General features: G+C 40.0%; 1 protein-coding gene across 9 annotated transcripts in view, besides 4 other annotated features; it reads right to left on the reverse strand.

Moving 5' to 3' along the window:
* Nucleotides 1–15684, reverse strand: part of DST (dystonin) — a 496835-nt gene that overhangs the window by 253125 nt on the left and 228026 nt on the right. The window lies entirely within an intron of this gene.
* Nucleotides 3301–3350: an enhancer, noted in NCBI's record as "active region_24703". NCBI's record gives its function as "activates an Ori minimal core promoter by ATAC-STARR-seq in GM12878 lymphoblastoid cells {active_cell/tissue: GM12878}" and the evidence as "EXISTENCE:reporter gene assay evidence [ECO:0000049][PMID:35858748]".
* Nucleotides 3516–4076: an enhancer, noted in NCBI's record as "NANOG-H3K27ac hESC enhancer chr6:56579434-56579994 (GRCh37/hg19 assembly coordinates)". NCBI's record gives its function as "activates a minimal SCP1, AML or CMV promoter by ChIP-STARR-seq in primed H9 embryonic stem cells {active_cell/tissue: H9 hESC(primed)}" and the evidence as "EXISTENCE:reporter gene assay evidence [ECO:0000049][PMID:30033119]".
* Nucleotides 4077–4638: an enhancer, noted in NCBI's record as "NANOG-H3K27ac hESC enhancer chr6:56579995-56580556 (GRCh37/hg19 assembly coordinates)". NCBI's record gives its function as "activates a minimal SCP1, AML or CMV promoter by ChIP-STARR-seq in naive and primed H9 embryonic stem cells {active_cell/tissue: H9 hESC(naive and primed)}" and the evidence as "EXISTENCE:reporter gene assay evidence [ECO:0000049][PMID:30033119]".
* Nucleotides 5841–6381: an enhancer, noted in NCBI's record as "H3K4me1 hESC enhancer chr6:56581759-56582299 (GRCh37/hg19 assembly coordinates)". NCBI's record gives its function as "activates a minimal SCP1, AML or CMV promoter by ChIP-STARR-seq in naive H9 embryonic stem cells {active_cell/tissue: H9 hESC(naive)}" and the evidence as "EXISTENCE:reporter gene assay evidence [ECO:0000049][PMID:30033119]".

The following is a 15684-nucleotide window of genomic DNA, read 5'->3' on the forward strand; positions in this document are numbered from 1 at the left end:
ACAATCTATAATCAATTAAAATGCAAAAACTGAATGGCCTTTCCTAGTCTTTCACCACAAGGTGGAACTAGGTAGTTAAATAAAATAAAAACATTTATTAATATATTACAGATAAACACTTTAAGATTTGGGGTATTTTAGTCACTGTTTCACCTAGGTATTTTTTATTCTCTTCTATACAGTTTCGCCATGGTTGCAGTAACCTTTTTAAAAGGCTATTTCAATTTTTAAATATTTTTAAATAGGTAACTTTTCTGTAACAGTCTGAGGTTAGGGTTGGTTGGTTCTGGTTTGGTTTGAGTTTAGGTCTCTATCTTTCCTATCTTCCCTTTTATTATCAAGAAAACAGATAAAAAATCTATTTTTGCTCACATTTTCCCCTGAACCTGTAGATTTTTCATCTCTTGCATAGCTGTACAGATCTTGGTGTGGGGTAATTATAATGTAATGTAACTGAAAGGGAGAAATAAATTCAGAAATCAATATACTCTGCATAGTATATCTTTTTTGGTATCTGTCCAGTTCCTTGGACAGATTATTAAAGATGTATTCTTGACAAACTCCACACTACAATGTCTAACAAACGAGCGTCGGCTTGTAAAGGCATCAGCATTACCCATTCCACATATGAGAGAGAGAAGAACAGCTAATAAATATTATTGTGCAATCTTTTAAAAATAGGAGGAGGTGGCCGGGCGCGGTGGCTCACGCCTGTAATCCCAGCACTTTGGGAGGCCGAGGCGGGCGGATCACGAGGTCAGGAGATCGAGACCATCCCGGCTAAAACGGTGAAACCCCGTCTCTACTAAAAATACAAAAAATTAGCCGGGCGTAGTGGCGGGCGCCTGTAGTCCCAGCTACTCGGGAGGCTGAGGCAGGAGAATGGCGTGAACCCGGGAGGCGGAGCTTGCAGTGAGCCGAGATCCCGCCACTGCACTCCAGCCTGGGCGACAGAGCGAGACTCCGTCTCAAAAAAAAAAAAAAAATAGGAGGAGGTATTTTAGATAAGACTAAGGATGCTTCTTTCCAGTATTCTGTCTGTTTGGCAGGAGAATATGGGCATTACCTTTTACAGGTTTTTCAAATATCCTCCTAGCTCATTACTTATATAAATCTTTCTTTAAACTCTTTTTCACCTTAAAAAAATCATGGTAAGTACTACTATGTCAAGAGCAATTTTTAACACCAGCATAAGGAAAAGAGGAGAAACCAATCCATATCCTTACTATGCTCACCTTTTTCCTACTCCTCCTACTTTCTCATAATTTGGGCAAAAGAAAGAAAAAGCTGGGAAAGCAAGGGTCATTATCACTTAACGTGTCTAAGGAGAAAACCTAATCAAGGAAACAAAATTTTGATGGAAATAAGTGAAAATGTGTGGTTGTAATATAAAGACAAATAATGACAACGAAGTAGAATGCTATTATAATACTAATAGCTAATTAGACATAGTTCATCTGTGTGCCATGACTTAAAAAATATAACTAGGTGTAACAAAGTCTGCTTGACACAGGTAGTCTATAATGACACCATTACAGTCTTATTCTTTACCACCACTGTTTTAAAGAGATTCCACTATATTTTTAAATTCCAGCTTTTACTGAAAAGCTTTTAAAACAGAATTGTAAATACTTTAAAATAAAAATCATGCAAAGGTTATTTTAAATAATTTTAAATTAGTTTTATTTAAATTTATATCATGATCAAAATTCACACTAGTTCAAAAAATGTGTATTTCCTCATCAAATCCTCCCAGCTAATGACTCTCTTGTAACGTTATACCAAATTCATAAATCAGATTCAAATTGATCATTATAAATTTAGAGATGTATTCAAGTAAAAGCATTCTGTCTTTGAAACAACAACAAAAAAAGAGAGCTCCTGGGACAGATACAGCAACCTCTCAAGTCATGTGCTTCTAACACAAGGTCACTTTACCAGACTGACTTTCTCTTTATACCTACCTATCATTGGTTTTAAAGAAATCTTAATCATGGTTGGTGATAAGATGGAATAACATGTAGGGGAGTAGCACTGCAGTGCAGGGCATGGTATGATTCCAGGTAAAAGGCAGTCTGAAGACCCTGGGCAGCTGGTGAGTGGGAAGAGAAGCATCAGAAAAGGAATATAAGGATGTGACAAATAAAAATTTCAACTACTTTGCAATTCTGATTAAAGTGCTGGTTGTGGCAACTACCCTGAATACTTCTGAGCTGAATCATCTCTTTTGGGGCTTTTGTCAAATGAGCTATAGGTTGTCAATGCCTGACCTATAATCTCAACACACACACACACACAATCAAAGAACTACCTGAACCTCAAAAATTAACTTCATCTACTTCCTGGATAATGTCTTACATGGCTCTATCCTTAACCGAACAGTGAGCCACTTGCTGGAATGGTTACAATATGAGTCAGGCTGCAGACTCGAGAGGAAGCAAGGTCCTCATAGAGCGGGGTTAGTGCTGGGCAAGTAACAGAATCCACTGGTAGATACAGCTCCAGGAAAGGTGCAGCCAGCCAGGAGTGCAGACACCTTCTGGTCATGCCATCATGGGCACTTCCCGGTGTCCCTTTCAGAGCATTATTTCCTAAGGTGAGAGATTAGGATAGGCATGACACAAGTGGTTGCTTCATCTCTTTTTTTCAAGTCTCAAGGACTGGAAAATCTAGGGGTCTCTTCATAGCATATTTTATAGTTTTAAGGCTTTGACGATACTCTGATACTTTCAGATACTTTATATGCAAACTAATTCACTCCTCTTTAAACATAAGCTCATTTCCTTGGGTCCTTGAAAATAAACAACTGAGAGCAACTGGTTGCATCCTCTTCATTAAACCTTTGAAATAACCCAGGATTATGATCAAGACAACTGACAAAAGGAGAGGAACACTAAAACTATTTTTAAAGACACCCCCAGATGATGAGATACCACTGCCACTGCTACAATCCGTTCTGATGCTTAACACCTCTTCCCTGTCAAAGAATGTTTCCTTAAATCCAGATGACACTCCATGTCCCCAGTACCACGATTCATATTTTTCTAAAATAAAACCACCCAAAATCATATCTGGGGAACTGATATGTTTGGAATGGAATTATAAATACAGGTTTATTCTTTTAATTACTTAATTAAAAATTTGACAGATGCTATATACACTCCTGTTAAATTAATCTCTGCAACAGAAATATACTTTCTGTAGGAGGATTAAAAGTTTCAAAGTGATCACTTCCTAAATGACATCATAAGTCTGCCAAACTTTCAGATTCTAGTCTACTCAACAGAGATCTCCGGACCACAGATGCTTAAAAACTAGTTTTCCCAGTTGTAAAAGCCCAGTGTCACAGAAGAGGTACTGCACTGATGTCTCTTACTAAAGCTGAAATCTAAGTGGAAGTTATTTTCTCTCCAGCCCCTGTCTGAGCACACTCCCTTTTAAAGTGACAAGTTTCACCAAGAGCAGGCTAGAGCCAGGTAACACCTAGCAAATCAGGGGCCACACTTCTGAAAGTGAACCACATAACAGCTATGGGTTTACTGGAAGATGCTCAGGTCCCAGTGCCCTAACTAGAGCTTCATGTCCATTCCTGATGGCTAAGAGAGATTTTGAAACAAAATGTCTCCTGAATATTTGAGGTCACATTCTAAAACCTCTGCTGTGATATTTCTCTATTGATAACTCCTCCTCTAGTTACTGAAATCTTACTTTTCCTACTAGGTCAAATTCTAACGTCATCCAGGCAGTGATGGTTTCCTTCTTCTGCACTCCCATATTCTTTGGATTATACCAGTACACCAATCATCATTTTACTTATAGTTTTATGTAGACAATATACATAAATGTATTAATAATTTCCTTAAGAAGAAAGGGCCCTGTCTTTGGTCCTCACTGCAAATGCTTAATGTCTGACACAGTGCCTTTCATATAGTAGATATTCAAAGAACTTTTGTTGAATAAACAAAAGATTAGTCACCTACACTTTGCATTTGACCTTAGCCATGCACTCAGCTGTGGGCTCTTGAATGCCTGCCGGATCACAGGGAAAAAAACAGAAACTCAGGAAATGGATTCACAAATCCCATCAAATGACTTCCTAGCAGGGGATTTGTGTTTGCCCCAAGGCCCATCATGGCATCTATCGGAGTTAGTGCCTGGCATCATGTTCTGCCACACAGTTGGAGTTAAGTAAATTGCTTCTGAATGACTAACACATTGAAGAGAAATGTCCACTTCTGCATGCCAAGCCTCCTAAGTATTTCCCCTATTAAGGAGCACAGAATGACACCTCCAAAGTATGGTGCTTTGGCATGCTGAGCACTTTGAAGAGAAGAAATTGGAAGTCTTTAGAAGTTGCCTAACTTTCTAACCTTCTCTTGTTTCTCTCCCACTCCTCACCAAGCGCAAAGAGGGAGGATCTCTAGAATTTCCTTAGCTGACTAGGGAAATTTCTGTCCAAAAGAAATGCAATTGCCTTAAGACCTCTCTCTAGCAGTTACATCAAATAGCCAGGAAAGATTAACCACAGAAAAGAGAAGAGATTAAAAGTCATCACCATGCCCAGACAGACTTTTCATCTATTCTTCTCAGGGCAGCTCAGAGAGATTACCTAAAAGACTTTATCTGAATAATAAGACAAATGAAGTTCTGCCCCTCACCTTCCCAGCAGCTTCCCCAGAGCTCAGAGGAACTTTGTACCCAGGCCATTGTTCTTTAAGCTCATTCATTTCCCCTGAAAATCATTTATTGCCCCTCTAAAATTTCCTATACGCCCCCCTTCCCTCTCCCCTGTGAAGAGGGTACATAAGCCCTAACCATCTGGCCCTTCTTTGAGTCTCATATTTGAAGGACTTCCAAGTCTACGCATTCGTAAATAAATCTGTATGCCTTTTTCTCCTATGAATCTGTCTGTTGTCAGCATTTCAGCAAATCTTCAAAGAGGGCAAAAAGGAAGCTTGCCCTCCACCCCTAAAACTCTTATCCATCTAAATTAGTCTGGTAAATGACTGGCTGGAAAGTGTCTAGATAAATCAAATTTCAAGACTGAATAATGAATCGTAAAACAAAACACTTTCAATAAAAATAGATATATAGATCAATGGAACAGAACAGAGAGTCCAGAAATAGACCTGTACATTTATGGACAACTGGTGTTTGACAAAAGAACAAAGGCAATTCAGTGGAGAAAGGATAGCCTTTTCAACAAATGATGCTGGGAAACTGAATATCCTTACGCAAAATCATTTGCTTGAACCTTTTCCACAAAATGAATCATAGACTTAGATGTAACAGCTAAAGCTACACAATTGTTAGATAAAATCATGGCAGTAAATCTTTATGACCTTGGGTCAGGCAAAGATTTCTTATGTATGATACCAAAAGCATACATTATTTTTTAAAAACTTAACAATACGAGCATTTAAACCCAATCTAAAAATAGGCAAAGAGAACCGGGGGGATGGCTCACAACTGTAATCCCAGCTACTCATGAAACTGCCTTTGTGAAAATTACTTGAGTAAGAAAATTATGGTAGTGAAAGAGATCAGATCTAACCAACCCCACCAAACTGGGCAGTCCAGCCTTCAAACTGCCCTTAATTATTGGGAGACATTTAGTTTATAATTTAAATCAGTGGCCCACTACATTTTTGGCACCAGGGACTGGTTTCATGGGAGACAATTTTTCCACAGACCAGGGTCAGGGTGGTGGGGATGGTTTCAGGATGAAACTTTCACCTCAGATCATCAGGTGTTCGATTCTTATAACAAGCATGCAACCGACCGGGTGCGGTGGCTCACGCCTGTAATCCCAGCACCTTGGGAGGCCAAGGCGGGCGGATCACGAGGTCAGGAGATCCAGACCATCCTGGCTAACACGGTGAAACCCCATCTCTACTAAAAAAATACAAAAAATTAGCTGGGCGTGGTAGCAGGCGCCTGTAGTCCCAGCTACTCAGGAGGCTGAGGCAGAAGAATGGCGTGAACCCGGTAGGCAGAGCTTGCAGTGAGCCGAGATCGTGCCACTGCACTCCAGCCTGTGCAACAGAGCGAGACTCCGTCTCAAATAAATAAATAAATAAATAAATAAATAAATAAATAAATAAGCATGCAACCTACATCCCTGGCAAGCACAGTTCACAATAGGGTTCACACTCTTATGAGAATCTAATGGCACTGCTGATCTGACAGGAGGTGGAGCTCAGGTGATAATGCTTGTTCACTGGCCACTCACCTCCTGCTGTAACAGGCCACAGACAGAAACTGGTCTGTGGCCCAGGGGTTGGAAACCCCTGGTTTAAATGATAATAGCCATTCCCCCAAATTCAACTAACTGCCTTTGTAAAGCTAATGAGAGACCACCAGACTAAGGGATGAGAGGAGTCTAAATTCTGCTAAGGTACAGACATAAATGGTTACCCATCATTATTCCAGAGGTCGTAAGATATGCAGCTTCCCCAATTACTCCTGCAGATAGCATCACTATTGCAGAAGCTAATATGGCCTTTTGAGATGTCTTTTCAGGTTTTTTGCATATCTGACAACTGCTGGCTCCACCTGAACCCACCAATTACTATTTTGGCTCCACCCAGAAATGACACAGGTTCATAAGGACCATTTCCAACAGCCCTATGATAGCACTCTCAACCAATCTGCAGAAAGCACCCATTGTCTAGCCAACTGCCTCTCTTCCCCCAAGCTATCCTTGAAAACCCCAAGCCTCTGAATTCTGGAGAAGACTGATTTGAGTAATAATAAAACACCAGTCTCCTGTTTTGCTGGCTCTACATGTATAAAACTCTTCTATTGCAATTCCCCTGCCTTGATAAATTGGCTCTATCTAGGCAGCAGGCAAGAAGAGTCCACTGGGCAGTTGGTTACACTCAGGAGGCTTAGGTGGGAAAATTGTTTGAGACGAGTTTGAGACCAGCCTGGGCAACACAGTGAAACCTTGTCTTAAATAAATAAATAAATAAATAAATAGGTGTGATGGTATGTACCGGTAGTTCCAGCTACTTGGGAGGCTATGGTGGAAGTTTGAGGCTGCAATGAGCTATGATCATGCCACTGTACCCTATCCTAGGTGACAGAGCAAGACCTCATCTCAAAAAATAAAAAACAAAAATAGGCAAAGATCTGAACAGGCAACTCACCAAAGAATGTACACAAATGGCCAATAAGCACATGAAAAGATGCTCAACATTATTAGTCATTAGCAAAATTAAAATTAAAATTAAAATGAGCTAACACTTCACACCTTCTAGGATTGCTAAAATCAAAGACAATGACAAGTGTTAACAAGAATGCAGAAAAACTGGAATCCTTAAACATTGCTAGTGGAAAGGTGAAATGATGCAACCATTTTGGAAAATAGTTTGGAGGTTTCTTGAAATGTTAAACAAGATCTACCATATGACCCAACAATTCCATTTCTAGGGAAATGTGCAAAAGAAATAAAAACATGTGTCTACACAAAGTCTTGCACATTTATGTTTATAGCAGCATTGTTCACAAGAGTCAAAAAGTGGCAAAAAACCCAGATGTCCATCAACTCTTAGGTGGACATATAAAATGTGATCTATCTATAGAATGGAATACTAATTGACAATAAAAGGGACTGAAGGAAGATACATACCACAACATGGATGAACCTCAAAAATATTATGCTAACTAAAAGAAACCAGACAGAAAACAACATATATGATTCTGTTTATGTGAAATATCCAGAAAAGACAAATCCATTGATACGGAAACTTTATCAGGGGTGGTCTACGGCTGGAGGCAGGGGAGAAACAGGACAAATGGGTACAAGGTTTCTTTTTGGGGTGAGGAAAATATTCTAAAATTAGGCTATGGTAATAGTTGCATAATTCTATAAATTTACTAAAAATTGTTCAATTAAGCACTTAAATGAATTTTATAATATGTAAATTATCTCAATAAAGCTGAGATTTAAAAAAATATTTTAGTCACACTCCTTTTGAAAAAATGGAGTGACAGCAGTGTTCACACATGAAAAATATCTGTATCTGTCAAAATTCAATAAAAATTAATAATGGTTCCCAGAATGTAAGACAGAATGTTAGACTATTCTAATATGGGTCAGTACATACAACTGAAATACTCTTAAAGGGATGTGTAATTTGTATTTATTGAAAAATAGCTCCAAGATTATCAATAAATAAGTTAAAGGACTGATCATAATACTAATAAATAAGGAAAATCTGTCAGTGTCAACCACTATAAAACCCTTAATCTAGACCAAAGCCGGGGTTATACATTAAGAGGGCAAAAAGCAAATGGAAAGTCATGTGCAAAAGGTTACCAAGTGGTCTAGTTAGGAAACAGATTAATCTGAGTGATAAAGGAAACATTTCCTCAGTTCTACATTAGCATAGGCTTTAACCTTGACACACACGTAACTGAACTGTTATTTGAAAGTCACATTTGCAATGAGATCATCACTCATGACCACATCTTTCCTCAAAGAGAATTATCAGGAGAAATTCAGCCAGATATTGGGCAAAATTCACCCCCGACATTTCACGTAGGTTCTTTTCTATTTTCCCTAAGCGTCAGCCGGTTTGAGAAATAAAGGGACAGAGTACAAAAGAGAGAAATTTTAAAGCTGGGCGTCTGGGGGAGACATCACATGTCGGTAGGTTCCATGATGCCCCACAAGCCACAAAACCAGCAAGTTTTATTAGGGACTTTCAAAAGGGGAAGGAGTGTACGATAGGGTGTGGGTCCCAAAGATCACGTACTTCACAAGGTAATAGAATATCACAAGGCAAATGGAGGCAGGGCGAGATCACAGGACCACAGGACTGGGGCAAAATTAGAATTGCTAATGAAGTTTCAGACACCACTGTCACTGATAACATCTTATCAGGAGACAGGGTTTGAGAGCAACCGGTCTGACCAAAATTTATTAGGCGGGAATTTCCTCTTCCTAATAAGCCTGGGAGCACTATGGGAGACTGGAGTTTATTTCATCCCTACAGTTTCGACCATAGAAGACGGCCACACCCAAGGGAGCCATTTTAGAGACCCACCCTCAGGGTCGCCTTCTCTTTCTCAGGGATGTTCCTTGCTGAGAAAAAGAATTCAGCGATATTTCTCCCATTTGCTTTTGAAAGAAGAGAAATAGGCTCTGTTCCACCTGGCTCAACAGCAGTCAGAGTTTAAGGTTATCTCTCTTATTCCCTGAACAATTGCTGTTATCCTGTTCTTTTTTTTTTTTTTTTTAGTATTTATTGATCATTCTTGGGTGTTTCTCGGAGAGAGGGATTTGGCAGGGTCATAGGACAATAGTGGAGAGAACGTCAGCAGATAAACATGTGAACAAAGGTCTCTGGTTTTCCTAGGCAGAGGTCCCTGCGGCCTTCTGCAGTGTTTGTGTCCCTGGGTACTTGAGATTAGGGAGTGGTGATGACTCTTAACCAGCATGCTGCCTTCAAGCATCTGTTTAACAAAGCACATCTTGCACCGCCCTTAATCCATTTAACCCTGAGTGGACACAGCACATGTTTCAGAGAGCACGGGGTTGGGGGTAAGGTCACAGATCAACAGCATCCCAAGGCAGAAGAATTTTTCTTAGTACAGAACAAAATGGAGGCTCCTATGTCTACTACTTTCCACACAGACACAGTAACAATGTGATCTCTCTTTCTTTTCCCCACATTTCCCCCTTTTCTATTGGACAAAACCGCCATCGTCATCATGGCCCGTTCTCAATGAGCTGTTTGGTACACCTCCCAGACAGGGTGGCGGCCGGGCAGAGGGGCTCCTCACTTCCCAGATGGGGCGGCCAGGCAGAGGGGCCCCCCACCCCCCAGACGGGGCAGCCGGGCAGAGGCGCCCCCCGCCACCTTCCAGACGGGGCGGCTGCCGGGCGGGGGCAGCCCCCTCCGCCTCCCAGACAGGGCAGCTGCCGGGCAGGGGCGCCCCCCCCACCTCCCAGACGGGGCGGCTGCCGGGCGGGGGCGCCCCCCCACCTCCCAGACAGGGCAGCTGCTGGGCAGGGGCGGCCCCCCCCACCTCCCAGATGGGGCGGCTGCCGGGCGGGGGTGCGCCCCCCACCTCCCAGATGGGGCAGCTGCCAGGCGGGGGCACTATCCTGTTCTTTTTTCAACATGCCCAGATTTCATATTGTTCAAACACACATGCTCTACAATTTGTGCAGTTAACGCAATTATCACAGGGTCCTGAGGCAACATACATCCTCCTCAGCTGACAGGATTAAGAGATTAAAGTAAAGACAGGCCTAGCAAATCACAAGGGTATTGACTGGGGAAGTGATAAGTGTCCATGAAATCTTCACAATTTGTGTTTAGAGATTGCAGTAAAGACAGGCATAGGAAATTATAAAAGTATTAATTTGGGGAACTAATAAATGTCCATGAAATCTTCACAATCCATGTTCTTCTGCCATGGCTTCAGCCGGTCCCTCCGTTTGGGGTCCCTGACTTCCGGCAACAGAGAATTATCACAGAAATAAAATTCTGTCTAAGTAGTAAAGCAATATACTGAACTGGCCTATTCAAATACCATTTTGTTAAATAAATCAAAGAGGAAAGCTCATTCACAAAAGCAGTTATGGTAGAAAATCACATTCATAGAACCACAGCTGGATTTACATACAGGAAAGGAAAGCCACCTTCATAAACCGATTTAGGGAAAATACAGAAGACCATCCTGTCTTCACCATTCAAGTGAATATACACAAAACTTTCCCTTAAATATATACAAAACCTCACCCTAAGGCAGAGGTCAGCAAACTTTTTCAATACAGGGCCAGAAAGTATTTTTGGCTTTGAGGGCCATATAGTATATAACCACACATAAATGAATGGGTGTGGCTGGGTTCAATACAATTTTATTTATGAACAATGAATTTTAGATTTCATATAATTTTCATATGGTACAAAATATTCTTCTTCTTTTGTTCTCAATTATTTAAAAATGTAAAACATATTCTTAGCTCAGGGACATTAACAAAAAAAAAAAGGTCATGACTGGATTTGGCCCACAGGCCATAGTCTGTAGACCCCTGTCCAAAGGCTCCTTGGTTAGAATGCAAATACACTTAGGAGGAATTAGCACATTAGTCATTATCAGCCCTTAACTCCTTTAAAGGAGATGAATTATCCAATTGCCTTGCCCTGGCAAATTAAGAGTGGGAATGACTAAGTTTTTACAAAGTAACATTACCTTGTTCTTTTTTGACAATAAAAGTAGTACATGTTTGTTTATTTATTTATTTATTTATTTATTTATTTTTGAGACGAAGTCTCACTCTTTCACCCAGGCTGGAGTGCAGTGGTGCAATCTCGGCTCACTGCAACCTCTGCCTCCCAGTTTCAAGTGATTCTCCTGCCTCAGCCTCCTGAGTAGCTGGGATTACAGGTGCATGCCACCACACCTGGCTAATTTTTGTATTTTTAGTAGAGACAGGGTTTCACCATGTTGGTCAGGCTGGTCTCAAACTCCTGACCTCGTGATCCACCTACTTTGGCCTCCCAAAGTGCTGGGATTACAGGCATGAGCCACCGCGCCCAGCCTAAAAGTAGTACATGTTCTTTTTAGAAAAACTTTAAAGTAGTTAAGACTACAGGAATTATCCTACATTGTAGAAATAAAAAGCGGCTATAAAGGTAAGTAAATAGCTGAACATGTACAAAGGCAGGGAGGTGAAAGGTAGAAGATAATATAAACATAGTTGAGATCATAACATAGGTAACTTCTGTGCATGCTCTGGCATTGTATAGCTCTGATTACATGGCAGACTTTCCTTCAACTCATTTTCTGTCTTCAACTCAGTAGCCTTAAAAATTTCAAATATAAAAACTGAAAGAGAATATGTTAGAAATGTATGATAGAAAATCTTATCACATGAGAATAAAATAAAGGAAATGGAACTATCTGGTTGACAAGTTAAAAGAAAAACGTGGTGAAGGAGGACAAAATAGTTTCTTCAGGTATTCAAGAGCTGCCATATACATTTTATATCATTCTGGGGGGCTGGCCCAAGATAAGTAGGTGGAAGTTAGGGTATGAGAATTTTAGACAATTAAAGAAATAGCTCAGTTATAATTCAAGAGAACCAAAAGGGTAAGTCATCCATAAATTAGAAAATAATTGACCTATAAGAAGGGCTGTGAGGGCTGGGCGTGGTGGCTTACGCCTGTAATCCCAGCACTTTGGGAGGCTGAGGCAGGCAGACCACCTGAGGTCAGTGGTTCGAGACCAGCCTGAACAACATGGTGAAACCCTGTCTCTACTAAAAATACAAAATTAGCCGGGCGTGTTGGTGCATGCTTGTAATCCCAGCTACTCGGGAGGCTGAGGCAGGAGAATCGCTTAACCCCGGGAGGCAGAGGTTATGATGAGCCAAGATCACACCACTGCACTCCAACCTGGGCAAAAAGAGCCAAACTCTGTTTCAAAAAAAATTTAAAAAAGAAGGGCTGTGAGAAAACATTTCTGCAATGACCACCAAATTAACTAGGCCCCATCCAGATCTGTAACTCAAATTAATACAATATTAATTAAATTTGCTTGAAAGCACTCACTTTAAAACTCTACTGCAGGATTTCCCAAAGGGAGATTAATAGATACTCTTTGACAAAAGATTCCAAGACCAAATGAATTAGGAAACATTGGATTAAACAGGGTTCTCTCCCACAGAATTTTTCTCTTTTTAGTATGCTAATGTGTACCATAAATCTCTTCAACCAGAAAATGCTACTTTCCAATCTCTTTGGCAAATGAAACCTTCCTCCGCTGCTCCCCCAACCCAGGGTATCCCACAACACCGGTGTTCCTGGGAACCTGATTTGAAAACTGCTGTTTCCCTTCCAAAAAACATGTTTTTATTTAATCTTCTCAACACTGGAAAATTAATTTTAAAATTCAGCAAGAAAGTATTAATCAGAAATTAAATTTGAATTCTATTTAGCAACCTGGAAGACATGTTAAAACTGCTCTATTATATATACTGCTCAGTAAAATCAAAGTGTCCTTAAGTGTGTTTCTTAAGTTTTTTAAGTTAACATAAAATTAAAGTTAGATGTTTAAGACATTTGGGAACAATAACAAACTATGAGGTAAAAGAAAGGATAATATTAAAACCCATTAACTAGGACAATAGCTCTATAGGAATCATTTCTACTTTTAGAATATGCATGGATACTGATGCTGTGTCCTTCTGGTGTAACTGTACTTAAATCTAAGATAAGAAATGTTTACACTATTCTCCAAGAATTCAGTAAGTAGTATTGGTGTTTGGAGATTCCAAGTGTTGAGTTTGTTGGTTTAAAAAATAATAACAATAACACGGGAAGGCTGCTAATGCTCTTGTAGAAAACCTAAGTGCTAGAATCTGCTCAGGCAGGAGGTTGAAATGCTATGTTGTGGCTATGACTCTACTGGGCTACTGCTCTGCAAATTATCTAATCTCGGCTAAACTCAACTAGTGATATGATGGCTCACAAATAATCCAAACAGTCTCTGCCATGCACTCACAGCATCTCACCTCACACTGTCATATCCATGTGAAGGGGGAAAAACTAGTGTTAGAGTGGTTCTTGGCCAGACCACAGAAAACACATTCCTTATTTAGAGCTCACTGTTTAACTGGCATTCATCACTGTAATACTATTATAAAACCACTACAGTTGCATATTGCAGGCATTCTTCCCTTTTCAATATATAGGCAATATTATGACTCAAATACATAAAAAAGCAATCAGGACCACAAGCCACTGTTAGAGAAGACAGGCGGACAAATCTGAAGCTTTTTGACAATCTTAAGGGTCTATAGATATAAAGATATATAACAGGCTGTTTTACACACACACACACACTGTGTAACAGGCACTGTGTTCAAAATTCTATGTAAATTATTTCATGGAATATAACCCAAATAAGAGGGCACTATTCTTATCTGTTTTACAAATGAGAAAACTAAGGCCTAGAAAGGTTCAAAGTCATACTACTAGAAAATAGTTGAGGAGAGACGTGAGTCTAAGCAGCTCAGTCCAGAGTCTGTGCTTTTCCCCACCACACTGTGCCACCTACCCTGGGTCACAAAGTACAATGAAAGAATGTGTTGCAAAAAGTAGGAATATCTTAGAATAACTTACCACTGAGGCAGACTCCAGGTATGACTAGCTTACTACCCTGTTGACCTTCCTATGCACAGCTGACTTTTCTTCCTGAATCTATTTGACATTCCACTGGAGATTTATTTCCCAGCGGGATGGCTAATGTGCTCTATCATTCACAGACTACAGTGAATGAGGTTCCCATCAGTCTTTCTTCATGACCCTAGCTGAAACCAGCTGCTCTGGGAGTCCAAGATGAAACATGAACACTCTGGAAAAGAGAGTGCCTCGGGAGGACACACACATGCACTGGGCCCCTGGGTAGAAGAGGGTGATTCTAAGGAATGGACAAAGAAAAGGAGTTAGGTAGTTTGAAATTTAAATCTATTTGGGAATGAGAGGAGGAAACCACTCTTTCTCCTCTAGTATATGGCTTCTTGAGCACTTAACATCTGTACGATAGTATATGCATTAAATAAGATCTAGAGGGCTAGCCTGAGAACAAGACCAGTTCTTGTTCTACATTGTAACAAGTTTCACCCATTTAAGGAAATGCAATTTCAGGCCTCTAAGAATGACTTATGAAAGCTCCCATTCCATATGTTAAGAACTCTATACATATGCAGCAGCAAAAACTGACATATTAATGAATGCCATGGGTTCCTTAAATTTTAAACCTAGTGGATTTTCCAGGAGAGTTTTTTTTTTAATCACAAACAAGATTACTTGAAATTTTTTGATAAAAATATATTTAAGCAAACAACAGCATCAGAATATATTAACACTGTACATCAACAGCATTGTGCCATCCAGTCAGGTATGAATTTCAACACTTTTGGAAATACGCAATAGCCTTCCCAGCTTCAACAGCTTCCCTTTGAAGTCAGCCCTCTTTTAAATGTTCACAACACAGTAATTTCTTCTATATTATATTAGGTTCAAATGACTCAGTTTCCAAACTCCTCAGCAAGTCCAATTCCTTCCCTGGAAGGAGTGGCCTTCTACCTCTCTGATTACAGGTTTCATTTCCTTTGCTATTTGTCTTTCTCTGTCAGTCCCTCTGTCAGACTAAAACTAGTCTCTGAATTCTCCCTCAGGTTTGCAATATGGTAAACCCTCACTAGAGCCTGGAAATGGGGTTTTCTATTTGATTCTATGGAAAAGAATATCTTAGACCTTCAAAGAAACCTGGCTACATCTACAATAAGACAACAGTGGTTAAGAACAGCAAAGCTAATTAGTAACTTAGGGCAAATTAATTAATCTCACCTATGAATATGAGTAAACTTCCTACTACCTAGCTATAAATGGAGAAACTGGTTTATCCAGTGGACAGAACATAGCAGTCAGAAGAATGAATCCTAACTTGGACCCCACTGGTCAACCTGTTGGACTTGGGGCCTCAGTTTCTATACCTATAATTAAATAGACCTTTTTAGCTTTATAAGAAGAAAGTCACCATAAGTTTATTTCTCTTTTCCTGCAGACTAACGTTTATCTCACTCCTACCAAAGCAAGCCTTTCACTTCTCCATCATAGAAGTAATATAGTATACTAGTGGGAAAAAAAGCTTTATTTA

Source organism: Homo sapiens, chromosome 6 (genome assembly GCF_000001405.40).
Source record: "Homo sapiens chromosome 6, GRCh38.p14 Primary Assembly".
NCBI lineage: Eukaryota > Metazoa > Chordata > Mammalia > Primates > Hominidae > Homo > Homo sapiens.